The sequence below is a fragment of the Homo sapiens genome, chromosome X (assembly GCF_000001405.40).
Source record: "Homo sapiens chromosome X, GRCh38.p14 Primary Assembly".
Taxonomy (NCBI): domain Eukaryota; kingdom Metazoa; phylum Chordata; class Mammalia; order Primates; family Hominidae; genus Homo; species Homo sapiens.
In genome coordinates, this window is record NC_000023.11 from 136,473,490 (window position 1) to 136,494,056 (window position 20,567).

Here is a 20,567-nt window from a genome sequence, read left to right on the forward strand (position 1 = left end):
CACTACAAAGCAGGCCCTACAAAATTCAAGAAATCTGAGCCAAGCACCCCTGTTCATCACAAATTATCACATGTGTATTTCTGCCCTGATACCTGCTGGCCCTTGAGAGGGGCAGTCTTTCAATGGAGACCCCATGGTTAGAGATAATACACATCCACCCTATCCAGCAGGGAAAAGTCACCCTTGACCTAAGGCATCCACTGAAGTCTGCTAAGAGGTAAGGTCACGGTCTACACTAAAAAAGCCCCAGGACATAAAGCCTGTGAGGAGAGAACAAGGGGCACTGGAGAAGGGGTCATGGCTGATCAGCCAGCGGTTGGGCAAGGCTGGTGGAGCTGTTCAACCAAGGTTCTGAAGAACAAGATCTGGCACCCCACATGGGGCCTGGTTTGGCAGGGAGGAAGTACACTGTGTGCAATTTCCTTCCTGATCTCAGGCTATGGCAGCCACACAGGACCAGCTACATAATTTGCAGGGCCCAGGAAAAATTAAAACGTGGGACCCCTTGTTCAAAAATTATTAAGATTTTCAAGATAATGACAGCATAAAACGTGGGACCCCTTGTTCAAAAATTATTGAGATTTTCAAGATAATGACAGCAGAACATGAAACCAAACATAGGGCCCTTCTATGCAGTGGGCCCTGTGTAACTACCCAGGTCATGTGCCTGTAAAGCTGGCCCTACAGCTGGAAAAGCCTAGAAATGTTCAGAAAGAGCTGCCAGAGGGAGAGAAGGGTGAAGCCCTTATTAGCAGAAAGTAGGAGAGGCCCACCTGTGGGGTGTCAGGTACCAACTCTTCTATCGGGTATAGCCAATAGAGGTAAGGGACTGTCTCCTTGGAAAAAGAGGGTGAACTCTAGTCCTCAAGAGCTATCCTCTCACAGAAAATGGGACCATGAAGCAAACTTGGGGTGGGAGGGCCCTAAAGGCCAGTCCCCAGGCCTGCCCCTGTGGTATCCTGCTTCCCAATGCCTTAGCATGGAGGAAGGGGGCATGCAGGGTGAAGTGAGGGAAGGGGGATTTTGACCTTGGCATCCAGGCCAATGAGTAGGAGTAGCGAATAGTGGAAACTATTAAGAAGAAAGAGGCAAGGAGGAAGATAGGCCAAAGGCTGACCCCAGCAACCAGAGGAAATATTCCTTTTAAGCATGGGCTCATTCATTTTACTGGTTTTGGTTTTAGAGACATCCTTATAAAATGGGACAGGGGTGAGAGTGAAGGGAAGTAAGATGGATGAGAGGTGGCACAGGTACCCTTAAACATGGCTAGCATTAGAATGAGTTGTAGTCTATGCATAATTTGCAGGGCCCATTATAAATCAGCCAAACTCTTTCTCTCTGTCCCTACTTCAATTCCATCATTGCCAATTCAGTCCTAAGGTAAATAATACTCAATTATCCCAGGGGTGCTTACTTCTTTGGACCCTTTTGAAAGCCCTAAAATAAGTCATCATTAACTAATCAATTTCCCTTATGAAGCAACACATGCTTTTCCCAGGGACAAAGATAAAGCAGAAAAATGAAGAAGAAGAAAAAAAAAAACAAAACCTTAGGTACACCCAGCCTCTGATTCTGCGTAAAAGACACAGAAATAGCAGTAAAGGGAGAAAGGAAGGTAGGTATAGAGTGAGTGAGTCTATTGGCACAATAGAAAAGGGCTGGAAAAGACATGCTAGAAGGGACAGGGCAACAGCTCCCCCATTATTATTTCTACCACAGAATGCTTTCAGAGGTCCCTAAACAGGGGCAGCCTTTTTGGCAAACCAGCCTCTGAGCTGCCTACCAGCCCATCACACAAAGCATGGATCACTATTGATGCACAATTTTCTACCACAAATCACCACCCACACTTATGCTTCCACATAGTTAAAGCTTGAGGATGATAGAAAAGCTGTGAGTAATTCCAGGCGGCTGTCTCTGTAAAAGAAAGAACACAGCTGCTGTATCCCAGAAAAGGGATCTCCTACACCCTGTGTTCGGGGCTGACACGTGTTCTCCAATGTTTCTATAATACTGTGGAGGACTAATGTCAGAGCTCCCTATCTGGTCTTCACATTAAGCCTCCTCCTACATGGACAACCCCTATGAAGGGGCAGCTTGTGTGGACAGGACAGTGACTCTGTCTCTGTTGTTCCCACTGTTCTCTTGACTAATACCGAATCTCTCCATCTGGGTCATCCAACTCATTCTCCCTCTGGGCTTCTTCCAAGCTACCTAGCAAGGGAACGATGTCTCTTGATCCATCTCCCTTATAATCAGTGCACAATTGCTCCTACTGGAAAGAAATCAGGCTCTGGAAAAATGGAAAAGCTGATGGTACTTTCAGTTCCCAGCATCATAGGAAACCCTAAGACAGCTATTCAATTTCTGTCTCTCAGAGAGGAGAGATCTTCAGAGGCCACAGGTGCAAAGAAGCAGAGGCCCATGAACTAGGTTCTAGACCTCACGAGGCAGCAACATTTCCTCCACCTCTTCCTGCTTTCTGTGATTCTCCTTTTGCAATGCCTTTCTGCGCATCAAGTAATGGGAGGATGACTCTTGTTCTGCCCCCCTAATAATCAGTGCACATCTGCTTCTGTTGGAAATAGATCAGGCTCTAAATGGAGCTGCCCTATCTCAGTCTACCCAAGAGAGAGGTGAGGTGTGGAGAACCCACAGTCTAGATTACAAAACAGAGGGAAGAAAATAGAATAAAGGAGAGAGTGTAAGTATTGATCCTTATGTGCAGAGAATGAATCCATTTAGGAAGAGTTTGAATCCTTATTTTCTGGCTTCTGTTTTTATGCTTCTCAAAGTCATGATCACATATCCTTCTCAAGTCACCCTCATTGTAGGCCATTGAGTCACTGCCAAAGACTCAAGGATTAGTCCTGGCTTATTTGTTTTAGAAACCAAAAGAGATAGTGTTCCTTCATCCATAGTAAATGCAGCAGAAAGAGTAAAACGTTACCTTAAATCCAATACCCTTGCCCTGTAAAAGTCCTAACTACAGATGCTTTCAAGAAAATGTGAGCTAAAAAAATGGAGTGAGGCAGACAGCTCCAAGTGCTGAGGACTGTAAGAAGTGCAATCTAGACTCTAGAGGACTCTAGAGTGGCTACATTGGCAAATTGTTGTTTCAGCTTCACTAACATATCCCTCTTTGGTACTCATGGTTGTTGCAATCATATAACCTTTTCAAGATCTGCCAAGAGATCATCTTTGAGATTATGTAACTTTGCATAACTTGATGTGCAGTCAAGCATGTGGGGCGTGTGAGATAAATCTCTAAAACAGTACATTTCATTGCGCTTGTAGGAAAACTTGTTTCCCTACTCTAAAAGACAAGGAAAATTGGAAAGGGGTGATGATAGAGAGGTTTTAGTTTGGAAGCCTTTTTCTCATCCCACCTCTGTTCACCAACCTCAGGTTAATCGGGGGAAGCTTGTCCCCCAATCTCAGGTCTGCGCTGGGCCCCTAGTTAGCTAAGATGAGACTCAGACTGGCATCTAAGTCCATGTAGCAAGCCCAGTAAATAGCCTGGAACACAGAACTGCCTCCCTAGCCTCACGCCACTTCAAGGAGCAGGCCTGGCCAACTGCTCCGAGGATGTGTCAGACATACTTGAATGTAAACAGGAAGGAAGATTGAAAACTTTTTGCATTTTGCTGCAGTAGGTAGCTATCTCTTAGGTGAGGTTGGCTTTGGAGTGATAAAGGCCTGTTGTGCAAGGAACTCCCAGCTTAGTCCTACCTCTTCCTAAACTCCCCCTGCTGCTGCCAAGGCAAGGTGCTCTCTACTGGGGAAGGAAAAGGGCTGGCCCCTTGGCTTTTTACACATGCTAGGGGATGCAGGGGAGCTCATCACCTCCTCACTCTGCTAGAAGGAAAGTGGAGACTGTGGGAAAACAGGCATCTTAGAAGCAATAAAAGAAAGAAAGAAAATGTGAATTGAAGCACAATAACATATTCACCATGCCACAGCACTTTGTTTTGCTTGTCAGCAGTCTATAGTCCACTTCTTATTATTACAGAATTTGTGTGCATCTCCTGAGCTTCAAACTATTTTTGTTATTCACATCTATTAACTCAGCTCATCTATGTGTTTATGTTCCTAGAACTGATATTTAGTTTGTCTCATGGTGTGCGGTGTTTTATTATTCAGATCCTCTGTACTTCTACTAGAAATGTGTTTTAGACACCCAAATAACACTCAGTAATAAAGACACCATAGACATGGTCCCTAGAGACTGGGAGTCTGTCTTCCAAAAGAGGGCTGTTTGGGGGATAAACACTGCTCAGGAAAGTCACTTGTCTCTTGTACCAGACCATAAGGGGTTTACATGGCCTGGGAGAGGGATAGTGCAGATCCTGTTGTATCTTGGACTATGACATCCTCCTGTCCTCACTCCTGGGAATATATGTCTCCCATCTATGCATTCAGTCCCACCCCTCAGTCCACATGATCAGCCTTGGCTTTGAGGCAGAGGGGTATTTAAGGAGCTTTAGGCGAGCATTCTGACCTCAGCTTCAAGCTACCTTTCTTACTTCGGTGGCTCTGCTCTGCTTAATTTAGATGACTTCAGCCCTACCTTTTGTCTACCTTTCCTAAACTTGAGCCCATGTCCCTCTTTGATAATTTACAAGATACACTTCATCTCCCTCCTTAGATGAGGAGTTCTGTTGTTTCTTGGTGGGGTTGGAGGTGTGTGAATCGTAAGTCTGAGTATTGCTGTGAGAATCTGGAAGAATCCCCTGAAACAGCAAGGAATAACTGATCCTCATCCTCCCATTCCATATATCCCATCTTCTCTGATTTATGTACTTCCATGTCTTCCTAGAGCCAGGTAAGAAGCTCTAGCTTCTTAGCTTTATTGTCTACTACTCCCTTCATCACCACCCGCCCCCCACACAAATATGAGACCAACTCATAGAAACCAGGCCAGATCCAGCTATTCAAAACTGATCATCAAGGCCTTGGAGGTCCCAAGTTAGTGTCATAGGAATCTCAGTTGAAGATCATCCAGGTTGCTAATCAGAAAAATAGAGGGAAGGGAGGATGAATAGAGGTTGATACATCTGTATAAATATACAGTTAGAGAGAAGAAATAAGATCTAGTCTAGGGTGACTATAGTTAAGAATAATCTAGTGTACGTTTGAAAAAAGCTAAAAGAGAATAATTCAAATGTTCTTAGCATAAAGAAAAGACAAATAGAGGCCAGGTGTGTTGGCTCACGCCTGTAATTCCACAACTTTGGGAGGCTGAGGTGGGCGGATCACTTGAGGTCAGGAGCTCGAGACCAGCCTGGCCAACATGGTAAAACCTCATCGCTACTAAAAAAAAGTACAAAAATTAGCTGGGCATGGTGGCGGGCGCCTGTAGTCCCAGCTACTCAGGAGGCTGAGGCAGGAGAATCGCTTGAGCCCGGGAGGCAGAGGCTGCAGTGAGCCAAGATTGTGCCACTGTACTGCAGGCTATGTGACAGAGCAAGACTCCGTTTCCAAAAAAAAAAAAAGACAAATATTTAAGGTGATAGATATTCCAATGACACCAATGTGATCCTTACACATTATATGAATGCATCAAATTTTCACATGTACCCTCAAAATATATACATCTCTTATGTATAAATTAAAAATAAGTTTAAAAAGAAAGGCCAGGGTTCTAGAAAGTAGATCTTTTAAATAGCCACACCTGCCTGTGCACCAGATACCTTCACAAACAAAAGGTGCTCCAGCACTGACTCAACTATAAACAGCCTTCATTCCTTGTATCTGATTTTGCCCTGCTTCCAACTCATCGTTGTGGTTCTTCCTTTTTTGTCTGCCCTTGTAGATGAATAAAAAGAAAATGCAACTTGGTACTAGAAAGCTCTGGATTTGAACTCTGGCTCTTCCACTTACAGATGTGTGTGACCTGTCATGCCAAACCCCTGTCAGCTCCAGTGGGGATGGCACCAGGCTCCAGAGGCTGAAGAAGAGACCCAGAGCTAGTGAACAAGACATAGGGTTTTACTGGGGCTTACGTATGGGGAGATAGTCCAGTGGTGGTGGGCTAGGCAGGAGAACTGCAACCACTTGCAAAAAGCATGCAGTTTATATAGCATTTTCACTTAGCATCCTTTCCCTAACAACCTCCATTTGGCAACCTTTACGCAACCCAAAACTTGGGCCCCCAAGCCCCTGTATGGTCCGTGTTCCACGGGACAGGCAGGGGGCTCAGATGTTCCTCATAGACAAGGAAGGACTCCCCAGGCTGGCCACTCTCTAGCTGGGAACACACACTCAGGTGCATGTGCTATACAGAGTGGTTCTCTGGGAATGCTTGTTATTGCTTAGGTGCATTTACCATACATGACCTTAAGCAAATTTCTTTACCTTCTAAGGCTTGCTTTCTTCACCTCTAAAATGCAAAAGAATATCATCTACCTCTCAGAGCTGTCTCAGGATTAAATGAGATAACATACATAAAGAATACCTATAGCACCCAGCCTACAGTAGATGCTCAGTACATGGTGTCTGTCATTCCATCTTGGATCAAGCCATTGAGGTGGCACCTCTTCCACCTATATGCAAGGCTAGTGTAGTCTAATGAGATGACAAAGGAAAATGTGTGTTTTGCTCTTCATATTTGAACCTAGCTATGATTTTTATTTGAGCTAGAACACTTTCCTCCACAACCATGTGGCTTATCTCTCCCAGAGACAGCTCCAGCAAACAGATTTTTTTGTTGACTTGGCCCAATAACCACCTTTTGAAGCCCCTCATTGCCAGTCCCTCACTATGCTCCAATAAGCACTGCTTGTACTGGGTGGACCCAGAAGATGGGAACTGGAAAAGCAAAACAAGGTCAGGCCTTAAAACTAAGTAAGACTTAGAGGCAGTGTGGTCAAAGATGGGATGAAGGACGAGCAGGTCAAAATAATGTTCAGACGTGATTCCAGGGGCACAGCCACTCTGCCATGGTACACCCCTTAGGTATGGTTCAGTGCATTTCTTGAGGGACAAGGTGTGCCTCGTATGTTTTTAAAGGAGCCAAGCGAATCCAGACACCCACTTTAGTTCACTGAAGTGCACAGCCCAACCACAAGTGTAGTGTGGCTGCTACATTCCCAAATTGTCAACCAAAATATATGAGAATGCCCCTGGGACCTCTTCCGAGATTGTGGAGAGGGGTGGGTCCAAACCAATCCCTCTTCTGCTCAAAAAATTAGAAATAACTTCTTATTGACTGCTGAATGAACTGCAGACTCAGCTCACAGCATTCAAGTGTTTTTCACAAGTTAATGTCAACCTGCCTGGCCAGGCTTACTTCACCTTGCTTTCCTATCCACACCCACCCTTCAGCCACACAGCACTGTTCATTCCCTGAACATGCCCCCACACACTCCCACCTCTGTGTCTTTGATAATTATTTGTGACTTCTTCCCTGTCCTTCATCTCTACCTACTTCAATCCTTCACAGTTCCTCTGAAAAAATGGACTGTCCCATGAGTCCTTTCCTGATCCCCCAAGTCTCCTCCAACTGGCCTATTTTCTCTGAACTATGATAGAATTTACTTCTATCTCACTTGTGACATGGATTCTAGTTTGTGCCTAGGTTGTGGCCCTTGCTAGGGTTCCAACATCGCAGGCAAGTCTGGTAATTTGGAGGAACAGTGGTAGGGAAGAGGGCCTCCGAAGAGATAAAGTCTCCTGACGGAAGGCAACAGCCAAGTGCAACAGAGCTGACTCAGGCACGAATCTGCCTCCAGCCCAGAATCCTCGAATGCAGGCCGGTGTCCTATCCAGGGACTTATTTGCATCCATGAAGGAGTCTAATGACAGTGAAGGGAATGAAATCCCTAACCCGGCCCACTGAGGTCAAAGGTATAAGTGATGTCTGTCTAGTGGCCTCTCTAATGGTCCCAATGAGGCCAAACTGCAGAGAATGAGCAATTGTTGTGCCCTGAGAGGACACTTTCCATGGAGGGAGAATTGGAGTCCAGATCACTGGAGAGGGTTCTGGTTCAGGACACTCGGTGGATGCTCCTCAAAGGCAAGAGCTGCATCTAAGCCATGAGAGAGTCAAAATCCTCAGGAACCCAGGCAGGTTTTCTTTAGGACATCTAAGCCTGACAGAGTACAGATGGCACCTTCAGAAACCATCTTGATGAGGATGGATCAAGTCAGCATTCTATGCTGGAACCAGTTGAAACTGGTGGCTGGATTGAGGCCACCTCCGTCTGATGGGGTAGTGGTTATGAGCACAAACTATAGAGCCAGCTCCCTGGGTTCAGCTTGAGAACTTGATTTGCCCTGTGCTTCAGCTTCCTCATAGATAAACGGGAATAACAGAATCAGTCAACTGAGAGCAGCAAGTGAGACCTCCTTGATGTCAGTAGTTGTGAAGTCCATTTTAAGAGGCCCAGCAGACTGTATCAAATAAAGTAGAGGACTGATTTGTGGCTATGTGGATATGCAAAAGCAACCTACAGATTCTTGGCTCTGTTTAAAGGGCGAAACAACAGTTCTAGAAATTTTTCTAGAAAAAATGGGGGAGGGTCTTGATGCCATTATAATTTGGCTATTAAAGGATGAGACCTTACTATTTTTTTCTTTTTTCTTTTCCTTTTTTTGGTTTTTGTTGATTGTTTGTTTGTTTTGAGATAGAGTCTCACTCTGTCACCCAGGCTGGAGTGCAATGGCTCGATCTCAGCTCACTGCAACCTCTGCCTCCCGGGTTCAAGTGATTCTTGTACCTCAGCCTCCTGAGTAGCTGGGACTACAGGCACCCACCACCATGCCTGGCTAATTTTTTGTAATTTTATTAGAGGTGGGGTTTTGTCACGTTGGCCAGGCTGGTCTCAAACTCCTGGCCTCAAGTGGTCTGCCTGCCTCGGCTTCCCAAAGTGCTGGGATTACAGGTGTGAGCCACTGCACCTGGCCTTCTCTTTTCTTTTTTTAAATTATTTTTAGACACAGGGTCTTGCTGTTGTTACCCAGGCTGGAGTGCAGTGGTGTGATCATCATTCACTACAGCCTTGAACTCCTGGGCTCAGGCAAGCCTCCTACCTCAGCCTCCAAAGTAGCTGGGACTATAGGCACGTGCCACTATGGCAGATTAATAAGAACTTCTTTTTTATTTGCAGGCTTATCATACCTTGTCATACTGGCAATGCTCAGTAAACTAGTCGTGATCACTGAAGAGGGACTGCTGTGCTTGGTGGAACAATGCAAAAGACTATAAGTCTTGGCAGAGTAACATAGAGACTGCAGGGCAGAGCATGGGGCACCCAGTGGAACAGCAACAGTGCCAGTGAGAACATACTGGCAGGACTCTCATTGTTAGGGGCTCCTAGAAGTGCTTGAGGTGAGGGCGTTGCAGGAAGCTAAACATTATGTGTGAGCAAGTATGTGTTGGAGCCACAGAAATTCAGATTTTCTGGCTATTTGTGTCCTTTATCTCTTTCATTAACCTCTTTGAGGACAGGTGCTAAGTCTTACTCATCTCAGTATCTCCCAAGAGCAAGAGCCCTAGTCCTGACAGAGGCTGTGGAGACTGCAGGGTGGCCTGATGCCCACTGGATCAGCGGCAGCATTAGGCAGAGCTGGCTCCATCCTGTGCACAGGTGAGACTTGCTAGAAAATGTCCCACTCATCCCTATCCCTCAATGGCATCTGGCCCTGGGCTTACTTTTATTCTCCCCATTTTTCAGCTTCATTGAGGCATAACTTATATACCATAAATGCACCTATTCTAAGTGTAAAGGTTGAGTTTTAATAAATGTATACAATCATGCATCCATCATCATCACACCACATAGTTTTGGAATACTTCCATCTTTCCTAAATATTCCCTGTACTGCTTAGCAGTCATCCCTGCCCCAACCTTCAGACCCAGGCAACTATTTGTGAGTTGTCTATAATTTATGGTTTTGTCTTTTCTAGCAATTTCATATTAAGGAATCATATAGTATATCTGGTGTCTTTCATTGCATACGTTTAAGATTCGTCCATGTTGTAATAAGTATCAATTGTCCTTTTTTATTGCTGTGTAGTATTCCATTGCCTGGGTAAGCCACATTTTGTTAACCCACTTGCTAACATAACAGACAGACATTTGGGTTATTTCTCATTTGATTTTACAAAAAATGCTTCAATGTTCATTTTTCTTACTAGTCTTTGTGTAGATGTATGTTTTCATTTATTTTGGGTAGAAGCCTAGAAGTGAAATTGTGGAGCTATATGGTAAATGTACAATTTTCATTGATTTGAGGCACCTGAACAGGATTAAGAAGTAGGAAGCTGAAAGTAAGCCATATGGGAATGGTACACATGGTTGAGGATATAGCAGAGAATTCCAGGAAAAGGAAGATTACTGAGAAGAAAGATAGAAATGCATTAAGAGAAAAATTCATCTACTTAATAGTTTGTACTTCAATATATGCAGGAAGCCTAAACATTTTATGTAATCACAAAATTGTCTCAATCTATTATAATAGTAGAATTTCACCTGGATCATAGCATACACCATTAGGCATGTGTGGATGGACAAGTACAGTGATAAGGGCATCTATAAAGGTACCTAAGTCTGCCAACAGCCTACATGGTTGTCCACTTTTACAGAGCCATTAAGTTTAATCATGACAAGAATTTGCCTTTAACAAAAAATTCCATTTCAAAGATTCAATTGGAATTTCTACTCTTTGCTTCTACCTCTTGGCTTTCTACTCTACCATGTAGAGTAGAATAGTACAACTGTTCCATGGCACAGTTGTATTTATTTTACCTGGTCTCTGCAGAGGCCATTCTGAACAGTAAGCTCCCCTTGGAATATGAAACTGTACCAATCAGGTTTTAGGACCAGAAGTAATGAAAGAGAACTTTGTGACAACAGAAATAATTATTACATAGCTCCAAACACACCCACATGTCGAATTATATTATCCTATAATTGATCTAACCCAATTAATCTATAACAAAGAAATCCATCCAACTTCCTAGTGCAAAAGTATAAAAGAAGAAAGCTTGATCATTAGAGACTTAAAGATTGAGAGTTCTAGTCATTCAATTTTCAGTTCTTAAATATACAAACAGATTTTGAAATTGAGTAAGAGGCAAAAAGTTTATGCACTTCATCTTTCTCCCATTGGAGAGATCACCCCAAGCACCCTGGATGATTTGGGCATAGATGCCCAAGAGTTCAGTGAATCTGGCTTACCAGGGATTAAGATATATAGGGAGGACAGCCAGCTCCAGGAAGGTTTTTGACATATCTATCACAGCAGAGAGTACCTTTTTCATTAATGAAGACCCACAGAAATATCTGTTGCACCTCAGTATCAGGAAAAAAAAAACCCATGATCCTCTTGGAAGAACTGAATTATTTTTATCCTAAGTGGTTCTCGAGTGTGGTCCCAACCAGCAGCATCCTCATCACCTGGGACCTTGTTCAAAATGCACATACTCAGGTCCCACGCCAGACCTACCAAATCAGAAGCTCTGGAGGTGGGACCCAGCAATCTGTGTTTTGATAAGCCTTCCTGATGATTCTGGGGCAAGCCAAAATTTGAGAACCACTGTCCTGTTTACTGATGGCCGAGAATCTTAGAACCAAATTGGCAGCTTCTCTCTGGCAGCTGTTTTCTAACCCCTCTCCCCACCACCTGAGAGGTAGAGAAGGCTTCTTCAGCACCCTTAGATGCCCAGCTCCTTAGAGACTTAAAAAAACATTTTTACAACACCAACTAAATTGGGCTGTGAACCAGAAAACACAACTTCAGAAAATTGGTAACTTATTCATTCAACTTCTAATACTTTTCTGAGTCAAAAAGCTGCATTAGGATTGTATTACAATTCCTTATCTAAAACCAAGTAGTTGTTTTGAAAATCTTGGATGATAATATTGACCACTTATGTACTAAAAACAAAAAAGGATTTCATCATTTTGTATAGGCCAAGTGCCTAGCTAAAAATGATTAACAAGACATGGTTATCTTTTGCTAGTGAATTATAAGGTTGTAAAAGAGATACAAAAGCAAATGCATTTAAATTATCTATCATGAATCACTGGTTAGCCTGGAAATCTCTTGTTCTTTGGTTAATAGAACACGCAGAAAACCTAAGCCTACAATGCCAAATGAGCAAATATGGCTCATTGTCAGGAACTGAGTGTTTTTCAGCTCTTGTCACTGATTTTTAACCTTTCAGAAGCCAAAGAGAATCTGTGTTTCATCTTAGTTCTGTTGAGAACTTGTGAGACCTTGGGTGAGATACTTTCCCTACTCTGGACCTCATTTCTGCCTCTGCAAAATGAGAGCATTTGATTTGATCATGTCTAGGGTCACTTCCATCTCTGATATTCTGGGATTCTGGAATTCTAGAGATCTAAGACCCCCACTGCTCCAGTACTACTCCAATACAACTACTCTCTCTTGACCGCTCTTGATCAGAAGGAAGAGGGAGAAGAAAAAGTATTCCAGTGGCTGCAGCCTGCTGAAAGCATGAGTGAGATCTGGGAATTCAGATAATCTCAGAAATCACATGCAAGCATTACAGAACTTACAAAACAGTGCCATGTGGAGATCGGCTGTGGTGTGAATTGGAAGACATGGTTTGCTCCTTGGTAAATGATACACAGGAGTCCCAGGGAGATTTTATCATTAGTTTGCTGAGAACAAGATGTGAACCCTTTAAGGAGCCCTTTTCTGTAGAGACAATCTTAAAGAACCAGCCCAGTGTATGAAATTACTAGAGTGTATATATCTGAAAGCTTAGGAACTTGGGTTTATGCAAACACTCCCCCGCACCCCCATTCCCATCAAAGGCAGTTATTTAGCTGAGTGATTCAAGCTGTGGCAATAACTTATAAAGGGTGGGGGATAGGTGTGGTTTGGGGGACTTAAACCACATCTGTCTTCCACCCTTCATGAAATTAAGGAGGTAATTGATTCAATTCATCCACTTCACTTTCTCTGAAGAACTGATTGCCCCTACTAAGTATAAAGAACAACCTTTGTTGTTCCCCCTGTTCATTAGCTAGCCAAATACTTTGCTCTTTTTCACTTCGCTCCCCAGACTACTTTCTAATATGGTTATATTTATGAACACCTCACTACATGGTTTCTAGCTGAGAGATTATGCATTGCATTTGATAATTTCAGAGAATATTTCTTAGCAGCTTCAATTAGTAACTACACTCCAACTGCTAGCTTCCTGCTCCCAAACAGTGCCCCCACCACAAACACATACATATAAAGCACATGGTTATGTTTTCTGTAAAAAGTAGCTTCTCTGGCTGGTACTGAGGTGGTTGCCTTAAATGTGTACTTCTTTCAGTTGATGTAAACATCATCTACATGCCCATCATCCCTGGAGTCACCTATTTCATTTCTTCATCTGCAAATGATGATTTTCATTCTTAAAAGTTCTTTTGTGTCAGGAGCTTGAGCAGTGATGTTCTGTATTGTTTTGTTTTGGAATAAGGCAGGTTAGGTTCCCTTTAACCATTTCTAGAGAGAAAAATCCTAAACAGCCCCTTAAAAGAAAACATGGCATTAAAACAGACAGTCAAACAGTAAAAAGTGGTTTTATTAGGACATTTAGAGACAAAGCAACTGGTGCTGTGCCTGGATTTTTCATCTCTTAAAAGGTTGTTTTGGCTGGGTGTGGTGGCTCATGCCTGTAATCCCAGCACTTTGGGAGGCTGAGGCAGGCGGATTGCCTGAGGTCAGGAGTTCAAGACCAGCCTGGCCAACATGGTGAAACCCTGTCTCTACTAAAAATACAAAAATTAGCCAGGCATGGTGGCGGGCGCCTGTAATCCCAGCTACTCGGGAGACTGAGGCAGGAGAATTGCTTGAACCCAGGAGGTGGAGGTTGCAGTGAGCCAAGATCGAGCCACTGCACTCCAGCCTGGGTGACAGAGTGAGACTCCATCTCAAAAAAAAAAAAAAAATTAAAAAGGTTGTTTTGATAGTGTACAGCACAGCCTGGATAACTGCAAAGTTGGGGTTTACCACGTGACAGAGCTAGGTATTAAGCCCAAGTGACCTGAATGATCACTCCTTGGAGGTGACATAAACCCTGTCGAAGTGTAAATGATCTGTTGCTTCACCATCTCTCTGATATTAAATTTTGAGGAGTGGGTTCAAGGTTGTGCTTCAGGGGACACCTACACTTATTTATCATGTAAAACAAAATGCACTAGACTACCATGTGATTGCAGGGGGATAAATGGTTTTTTTCTTAAAAAAAATTGACAAAACCTATATAGACCATCCTGGGTAGATATGAAAACAGGGTGATTCTAATAATAAATAAGACGATTTAATAGGGTCTAGTTGGTCCCAAGATTCCCCAACAGGGAAGAATAAGCAACTGCAGAGCATTTCCCCAGCCCCCTCCCTCTCCTTATGACAGGACACGCCAATAAAACTCCACCTCCTACTCTTCAGTGCCAGATGGGTAAGCATTTAGCCAAGCATGCTGGGAGACACACAGAACTGAAGCAAAGGAGTATCTGGATGTCTTGGATTTTCTTCCCATTCTGTTCTGTTCTGTTCTCCTAATACCATCTCGTTACTAGACGTAGGCATTGGACGTGACAATCAACTGCATTTGAACTGAGAAGAAGAAATATTAAAGACACAGTCTTCAGAAGAAATGGCTCAAAGGCAGCCTCACTCACCTAATCAGACTTTAATTTCAATCACAAATGACACAGAATCATCAAGCTCTGTGGTTTCTAACGATAACACAAATAAAGGATGGAGCGGGGACAACTCTCCAGGAATAGAAGCATTGTGTGCCATCTATATTACTTATGCTGTGATCATTTCAGTGGGCATCCTTGGAAATGCTATTCTCATCAAAGTCTTTTTCAAGACCAAATCCATGCAAACAGTTCCAAATATTTTCATCACCAGCCTGGCTTTTGGAGATCTTTTACTTCTGCTAACTTGTGTGCCAGTGGATGCAACTCACTACCTTGCAGAAGGATGGCTGTTCGGAAGAATTGGTTGTAAGGTGCTCTCTTTCATCCGGCTCACTTCTGTTGGTGTGTCAGTGTTCACATTAACAATTCTCAGCGCTGACAGGTGAGTTTCTTTTCTCCATTATATTTGCCAGGATGTGAAATTGGGCAAAAAGAAAGGAAAGCTTGTACTTAGCATTTACTGGCTACTATTCTGCTTTTCTCACACTCTGTAACGTGGATGTGAGATTGGAAAATCTGGTGGCATTTAAAATAAAAGTTAGTGTAAGAATGTTAAAATTTCTGTGTTAGCACGGAGGAGAAGTTGAAATTGCATGCTTTATGGATAATTTATTCTTATTGTTTGCTCGGAAGTATACTGAACGGGGTTTTTATTTTTCTCCAGTTTATTAAGTAAAGCAAATTGTTCCAGGTGTAAAGGAAAAAAATTCATGCTTTATACATTAGTGCAGCCTAGTGGTGCAATATAGTCAACATGAAAACCAGGATAGGTGTGAAATTGACCACATATGTATAACTGTATATTGGAAGAGTGGTAAAAAGACACAGGCATCTAATTTATTTGAAATTCATCAAATTAGCTAATGGCAGAAAAACGGTGAGGTTTTCAACTCCCTGGTAACTTAGTGTAATGTCATCACGTAATTCTACTTGTTTTCTCTGTAGGCATTCAGTGACATTATCATTTCCAGAGAAATAAATTAATCTTGGTTGACTTTTAGAGCTCTGTGGAGAGAGCGTGTGAGATCCTCTTGCAGTCAGGGTGTTCAGATTCTGTGTTAGGATATTTTCAGTCCAAGTACTCTGTTTTTCTGTGTTCCTATTGTAGAATAACTGTAAAAACATGAAAAAATTTGAGGCTCCAAATGTTAAAAATGATGCTTTACAAAGCCTGCAAGATTCCTGTAAGTAATCGATGTTTGGCAGTACCAGAAGGAATAACTTCTTCAGATTCTAGAATCTGAGAGGAGGAAAACCTTTCCCTGTGTCTTTTGATGATTTTTGCTTTGACTGGTCTTATATTCTATTTGAGGGCAGACTGGCTTAATGACTGTAGATTTTAAGGTGGATTTGTTTGAATGAGGAGGTATCTCTGTACCGGCACAGGACTTCTGATTGCAACTTTGCCTCGCCCTAAATCTGTCCACTGATCAGGTTGGGCAACGAATTAACACTTACAAACGGGGAAGAAATTAATCCTCTCCTCTTTACCACATAAACCCTTGGAATTCTCTTCTAGGAAGGTTGATAACTGTTCACTCATGAAGAAAGGAAAATTAATTCAGTTTAACATCAGTCACTTATACAAAAGAAGTCTTTTAGGTACCTTAAGTGTATTACACTTAAGGTAATACACAGGTGGTGAATTACTCTCAGTCACACATAAAGTCATGCTGATAAATGTTTATTTGTCCTAAATAGAGAGTCTATACATAAAATTATAAAATTGCAAATCTGGAATATCTCATAGGAGTGAATAATGGAAAAGGAGATTAGCATAAATAAAAATATTGGGATGTATTATGTGCATTTAAAACCATAGCCAATTCTAGTTGGTTAATGTTGACTTGGTTATACACATATGCACGGAGGGTAGAACTGGATGACCACTAAGGTCACTTCTCACCCTAAAATTTGGTAACTTTGACATTTATTTGGACCTTTGCCTCTGATTATGTGTTTCTAGATACAAGGCAGTTGTGAAGCCACTTGAGCGACAGCCCTCCAATGCCATCCTGAAGACTTGTGTAAAAGCTGGCTGCGTCTGGATCGTGTCTATGATATTTGCTCTACCTGAGGCTATATTTTCAAATGTATACACTTTTCGAGATCCCAATAAAAATATGACATTTGAATCATGTACCTCTTATCCTGTCTCTAAGAAGCTCTTGCAAGAAATACATTCTCTGCTGTGCTTCTTAGTGTTCTACATTATTCCACTCTCTATTATCTCTGTCTACTATTCCTTGATTGCTAGGACCCTTTACAAAAGCACCCTGAACATACCTACTGAGGAACAAAGCCATGCCCGTAAGCAGGTATGTATTAATCAGTACTCATGCAAATCTAGTTTGAATTTAGAAGTGAAGTTCCTACTTTTGCACAGTGAGTAACTGTGTATCTTCCTGTTTATAAATGCAATAGCAGTGTAGTATTTTTGTTATGAGCATAGGCTCCGGTTTGAATCCCAGTTCTATCACGTACTAGCTGAGTAATCTTGAGCAAGTTACCTAACCTTTCTGAGCCTCGGTTTCCTCATCTGTAAAATGAAGATGATTACTAGATGATATAGATGAAATGCTTAGGTGCAGAGTAAGTATTTCAATAAATGGTAAGACTACTACTATTAGAGAGGGGACAATTGAAGTTTGAGAGTAGTCAAAATTTTTTACCCCATGGAATAGTGGGGAACACTGCATAAGATGATACTATGAAGAAAAGCATCTTTTGTTTTAGAAAGTGTAACAGAATAAAAATACATAGCATATAGAACTGGCAAGAATCCGTAACACTATTCAATGCAAACCACTTACACACAGATGAGCAAACTGAGGTGGGGAGGAGTGAGGGGAAAGAGTGGAATGCAAGTAGCACGAGAACACAGTGACTCACAGAAGCTTGATTAAGACCACTGCAAGAGCCACGTGTACCCTCCCTCTCATAAATATGGACAGAATAAAAGGAATGTTGCCAAAACATAGTTCCATTTGATTAAAAATATTTTTCTAACCTCTGGGAAAGGGGGAGAGAGGATTCCATTTACCCCTTGATCGGTACGCAGAGAACTGTGCCTTTTTTAGAGCTAGTCCATTCAGTTAGTTTAACAATGGTGCTCATGAGACTGAAGTTGCATATTTAATACCCATGTGAACCAGTTACCTTTGCTCTATTTGTGACCACAGGCTATATATTCACCTAACTTGGCTCATTTCTCTTATTAATAGATGTAGGTAGGATTATCTTCACATAAAAAGGACAGCACATTTTGGATTTACTTCTTTGACTATATGGTTAGAATTCCTATAGAGTAAAAACAATTTTAGTTACCAGCTTGGCAACTTTCATAGACCTCAAAACAATATTCTGACCTAGTCAGCTTCTGCTGATGCAGTGAAAGCAATTTTGTATAGCGTCTCTTTGTTTTTAATTACAGTAAATTTTGGAGAATTCCACGGCATTCTTCGAGTTAACTGCAGACATCCTAGAGTATCTCGAAATTAGGGGGAAAGGTATCTCTGAATTAGAGTTAATGAGCCCAAGATCAGAGGTTACCATGCCAATTGACTTGCTGTGTTATATAGTCACAGGCTGACTTCCTGCACATCCCAGCCAGTTAGCATACAAATGCATGTTCAAAGGGAAATCAGCTGTAATTAACTGTAAATTTCTATGTAAATTTATAGGATAACTTTTTAAAATCTCTCACAGCTAAATGTTTTGTTTTTTTTGTTGTTGTTGTTTTTTGTGTTTTTTTTTTTTTTTTTTTTTTTTTTGCTATGTTTCTTCCCCCTATAGATTGAATCCCGAAAGAGAATTGCCAGAACGGTATTGGTGTTGGTGGCTCTGTTTGCCCTCTGCTGGTTGCCAAATCACCTCCTGTACCTCTACCATTCATTCACTTCTCAAACCTATGTAGACCCCTCTGCCATGCATTTCATTTTCACCATTTTCTCTCGGGTTTTGGCTTTCAGCAATTCTTGCGTAAACCCCTTTGCTCTCTACTGGCTGAGCAAAAGCTTCCAGAAGCATTTTAAAGCTCAGTTGTTCTGTTGCAAGGCGGAGCGGCCTGAGCCTCCTGTTGCTGACACCTCTCTTACCACCCTGGCTGTGATGGGAACGGTCCCGGGCACTGGGAGCATACAGATGTCTGAAATTAGTGTGACCTCGTTCACTGGGTGTAGTGTGAAGCAGGCAGAGGACAGATTCTAGCTTTTCAAGGAAAAATGCTGCTTCTCCTCCCAGCGTGTGTATCCGACTCTAAGCTGTGTGCAGGTGTATGGTGTCCAGATTTTTGTTGTTTGAAAAGTGTGTTGAAATCTTAGGAGTGAAGGATCCCTATAAGTAAGTAAAATACAAACCATTACTTTCTTCAAAGTACAAATAGTAATGTCATCGGGCTTTCTAAATAAAATGAAGCCCCACTAAGTGCAGAAAGACAAGTTTATATATGCCAGTGAATCGTAAGGGAAGTCAAATGGGAAGGAAGGTGTAATAAACAAGATGAAACTTAAAAATCTCATTTGTTGTTTAATCACATCTGTGATGCTTCTAACTCCTCATATACTGTGATTTGCATAAAATTGTGTTTGTGTTTACTGTGTGGTGTAAATCTAGAGATACTTTGTATGTGAAAAGGGGATCACAAAAGAGAGAAAGCATCTCTTAGGCTATTTTCTTAAAAATAAACCTTCACAGAATGGCTGTCCTTTTCCATTAATCTGTATTCCATTGTAGCTGAATCTGTGCAGTTGAAATGAAAATGTTTTGGAGTCAGCGAATATAAAGCACTGAGTAAGGATCTGGGGCACAGTGCTTGCCTTACTGGGTCAACACTTACAACTGCCATGGATTAATAACTGGGCTAAGTTATCATTCACAAATATTGTTAGGAACTTGCCTTATTCATAGGCAGAATAAGTGGTCATGTTTATGGTGTCATTTGAGGACCTCTGTTGAAAAATCTGCAAACCTGCCACAGTGTCTGAAATTCTTCCTTTACAGAAATTCGTTTCTTTCTGGTAAGCAGTGCCCTCTTTCTAAAAACATGCAGAAGTACCATATGAAATCCCTAACCCCTGGGTGTGCAATTGTGATCAGATCATCTTCCTGCTTGACTTTATTAAACCCAATGGGTGCCTAAGTCCTGTAAGTGTATGGCCTAATTAATCTCTGCCCATGGAAATCAGATGGAAAGTTCTGATTTTCTATCCTGTGCTCCTACCTGCTAACATCATTCACTTGTTAATAATTATTGTTTTAAAAAAAAAAACTCTTGTCAATAGACGTGTCAGATTTAGACCTGTGGTTTCAGAAAAATTTTTGGAGCAAATTTAAACATGTTTGGCACTATAGGTAAATTTGTATTTAAAAAAAAAAACAATGTTTGAGTGTGCTTTTGGTAATGCTGAGCTTTCTTTAAATGGCTTGTGGAGTCGTGAACTTTTGCTAATGATGTGGCTCCAAAAGGTAATACATATTAACATTAGACTTTAACTTTCTGTAAAATTGGTTTACTTAAAGTTGGGCGGGGGGTGTGATACTGTATTAGTATTGTTTTAAAGTGGACACTGTAACACGTGTGGAAAAACAAATAAATATGAAATAAAGTTTTAAATGACTCTGTGTAACTTTATATTCTAAAAACAGTATTTCTGACAGAATATAACGGAACCCATTTTAATTCCAAAATGTTACTTTCAAGTCACAGAGCCCTAAAACAATCTTACTATTTTCCTCACTCTGAGTAAAAATTACATCTTTACTCTCCTAAACTCTAATAACTTTTCAGATATAACTTGATAAAAGTACCAGAATACTAAAGTGAAGACAGCTTTTTGGAAGTTCATAAAACTAGAACTCAAAGAACTTTTTTTTTTTCCATTCTCAGCAA

The 20,567-nt window shown here is 41.7% G+C and overlaps 1 protein-coding gene across 1 annotated transcript; it reads left to right on the plus strand.

The window, feature by feature from the left end:
• The first annotated feature begins 14,457 nt into the window (after positions 1-14,457).
• On the plus strand, positions 14,458-20,291 carry BRS3 (bombesin receptor subtype 3). Its single transcript, NM_001727.2, has 3 exons — positions 14,458-15,059; positions 16,644-16,995; positions 18,473-20,291. Exons 1-3 carry the CDS (start codon positions 14,626-14,628, stop codon positions 18,884-18,886), a joined length of 1,200 nt encoding a protein of 399 aa, NP_001718.1. The 5' UTR covers positions 14,458-14,625; the 3' UTR covers positions 18,887-20,291.

Coding starts and splice junctions, on each gene's coding strand:
- BRS3 (NM_001727.2), top strand. CDS start 14,626: ATGGCTCAAAGGCAGCCTCACTCACCTAATCAGACTTTAATTTCAATC. Junction 15,060..16,643: donor ACAATTCTCAGCGCTGACAG/GTGAGTTTCTTT, acceptor ATGTGTTTCTAG/ATACAAGGCAGTTGTGAAGC. Junction 16,996..18,472: donor AAAGCCATGCCCGTAAGCAG/GTATGTATTAAT, acceptor TTCCCCCTATAG/ATTGAATCCCGAAAGAGAAT.